Source organism: Homo sapiens, chromosome 7, assembly GCF_000001405.40.
Source record: "Homo sapiens chromosome 7, GRCh38.p14 Primary Assembly".
In the NCBI taxonomy this organism is placed as follows: Eukaryota; Metazoa; Chordata; class Mammalia; order Primates; family Hominidae; genus Homo; species Homo sapiens.
In genome coordinates this window covers 149,656,274-149,659,423 of record NC_000007.14, presented here as the reverse complement: position 1 = coordinate 149,659,423, position 3,150 = coordinate 149,656,274, and positions in this window count along the sequence as shown.

Sequence of the window (3,150 nt, the reverse complement as noted above, 5' to 3'; positions counted from 1 at the left end):
GAGGCTGAGGCACGAGAATCACTTGAACCTGGGAGGCAGAAGTCAGAGTGAGCTGAGATTGTGCCACTGCACTCTAGCCTGGGTAACACAGTGAGACTCTGTCTAAATAAATAAATAAATAAAATGAAACAAAAAGCTGGATCTTTGAAAAGGTAAACAAAATTGATAGACCATGGTTGAGATTAAACAAGAAAAGAAGAGAGAAGATCCAAATAAGCCCAATTAGAAATGGAATGGAAGATATTACAACTGATACCACAGAAATACAAAAGACCATCCAAGGCTGCTATGAACACCTTTATGTGCACAAACTAGAAAACCTAGAGGAATGTGGACAATCCTGAAAATATGTAGCCCTCCTAGATTATGCGAGGAGGAAATAGAAACTCTGAACAGACTAATAATGAGTAGTGAGATTGAAACAGTAATAAAAATAATTTCCAACAAAAAATGTCCAGGACTAGATGGATTTACAGCTGAATTCTCTCAGACATTCAAAGAAGAATTGGTACCAATCCTACTGAAACTATTCCAAAAGATATAAAAAGAGAGAATCTTCCCTAAGTCATTCTACGAAACCAGTATTACTGTAATGCCAAAATCAGGAAAGAGCATAACAGAAAAAGAAAACTACAGATCAATATCCCTGATGAACATAGATGCAAAAATTCTCAACAAAATACTAGCTAACTGAATCCAACAGCATATCAAAAAGATAATAAACCATGAACAAGTGGGTTTTATACCAGGGATGCAGGGATGGTTTAACATACACAAGTCAATAAATATGATACCCCACATAAATAGAATTAAAAACAAAAATTGCATGATCATCTCAATAGATGAAGAAAAAGCATTTGACAAAATCCAGCATCTTTATGATTAAAATCCTCAGCAAAATCAGCATAGACACTTTGGGAGGCCGAGGTGGGTAGATCACAAGGTCAGGAGATCGAGACCATCCTGGCTAACACGATGAAACTTCATCTCTACTAAAAATACAAAAAATAAGCCAGATGTGGTGGCAGGCGCCCGTAGTCCCAGCTACTCGGGAGGCTGAGGCAGGAGAATGGTGGGAACCCGGGAGGCGGAGTTTGCAGTGAGCCAAGATCATGCCACTGCTCTCTAGCCTGGGCAACAGAGCAAGACTCCATCTCAAAAAAAAAAAAAATCAGCATAGAAGGGACTTTAAGGTAATAAAAGCAATCTGTGACAAACCCACAGCCAACATTATACTGAATGGGGAAAAGTTGAAAGCATTCCCCTTGCAAACCTGAACAAGACAAGGATGCCCACTTTCACCACTTCTATTCAACATAGTGCTGGAAGTCCTAGCCAGCGCAATCAGAGAAGAGAAAGAAATAAAGGGCATCCAAATCAGTAAAGAGGAAGTCAAAACATCACTTTTTACCGATAATATGATCATATAACTAGAAAACTCTAAAGACTCATCCAAAAAGCTCCTAGATCTGATAAATGAATTCAGTCAAGTTTTGGGATACAAAATCAATGTACACAAATCAGTAGCACTGCTATACACCAACAGTGACCAAACTGAGAATCAAATCAAGAACTCAACCTCTTTAACAACAACTGCAAAATAAATAAATAAATAAATAAATAAATAACTTAGGAATATACCTAACCAAGGAAGCGAAATATCTCCACAAAACACTGCTGATTTTTTTTCTAGTTCTGTGGAAAATGATGATGGTATTTTCATGGGAATTGTATTGAATGTATAGATTGCTATTGGCGGTATGGTCATTTTCACAATATTGACTCTACCCATCCATGAGCATGGGATGTGTTTCATTTGTTTGTGTCACCTATGATTTGTTTCAGCAGTGTTTTGTAAAGATCTCTCACTTCCTTGGTTAGGAAGGAGGCGGAGGTTGCAGTGAGCCGAGATTGTGCCACTGCACTTCAGCGTGGGTGACAGAGTGAGACCCTGTCTCAAAAAAAAAAAAAAAAAATTTATATATATATATATATATATATAAAGAAGTAAAACCATAGCTTGAGAGCCAAATCCCACCTTCTACCTGGATTTGTAAATAAAGGTTTGAAAAGGGTTACGGAGATATAATTCACATCCTATGCAATTCACCCATTTAAAGTACACAATTTAATAGGTTTTTTGGTATATTCACAGGTATGTGCAACCATCATGACAATTTCAGAGTATTTTTATCACCTCAAAAAAAATAAAAAAATAACCAAAACCCATACTCTTCAGCTATAATCCTATCCTCCCATACTCCCCACCCCCAAGCCTAGGCCATCACATATCTACTTTCTGTCTCTATATATTTCCTGATTCTGTACATCTCCTATGAATGGGATAATAAAATACATGGTCTTTTGTGACTGCCTTCTTTCACTTAAACATAGTGTTTCCATGATTGATCCATATTGTAGTATGTAGCAGGACTTCACTCCCCTTGTGGCCAAATAATATTCCATTGTGTGAATATATGGATATATTACATTTGGTTTATCCATTCATCAGTTGATGAACATTTAGGATTTTTCCACCTTTTGGCTATTATGAATATTGCTGCCATAAACTTTTTTTGGGGGGTGGGGTACAGAGTCTTGCTCTATTGCCCAGGCTGGAGTGCAGTGGCGCATTCTCGGCTCACTGCAACTTCCGTCTCCCGGGTTCAAGCGATTCTCCTGCCTCAGCCTCCTGAGTAGCTGAGACTACAGGCGCCCCCCCAACCACGGTTGGCTGATTTTTGTATTTTTACTAGAGACAGGGTTTCACCATATTGGCCAGGCTGGTCTTGAGCTCCTGACCTTGTGATCTGCCCGCCGTGGTCTCCCAAAGTGCTGGGATTACAGGCGTGAGCCACCACACCCGGCCTGCTATAAACTTTTATGTACAGGTCTTTGTGTGAATATTTGTTTTCATTTCTCTTGAGTGTTACAAAATTGTTTTGGTTATTCTGGGTTCCTTGTAATTCCATACAAATTTTAGAATCAGCATGCCAATTTCTACAAAGTCAACTGAGATTCCGATAGTAATTGCACTGAATCTGTAGATCACTTTGATGAGTAGTATCATTATCTTAGTCTGTTGTGGCTGCTGTAACAAACTAACATAGACTGGGTGGCTTATAAATAACAAAAAATTATTTCTAGCAG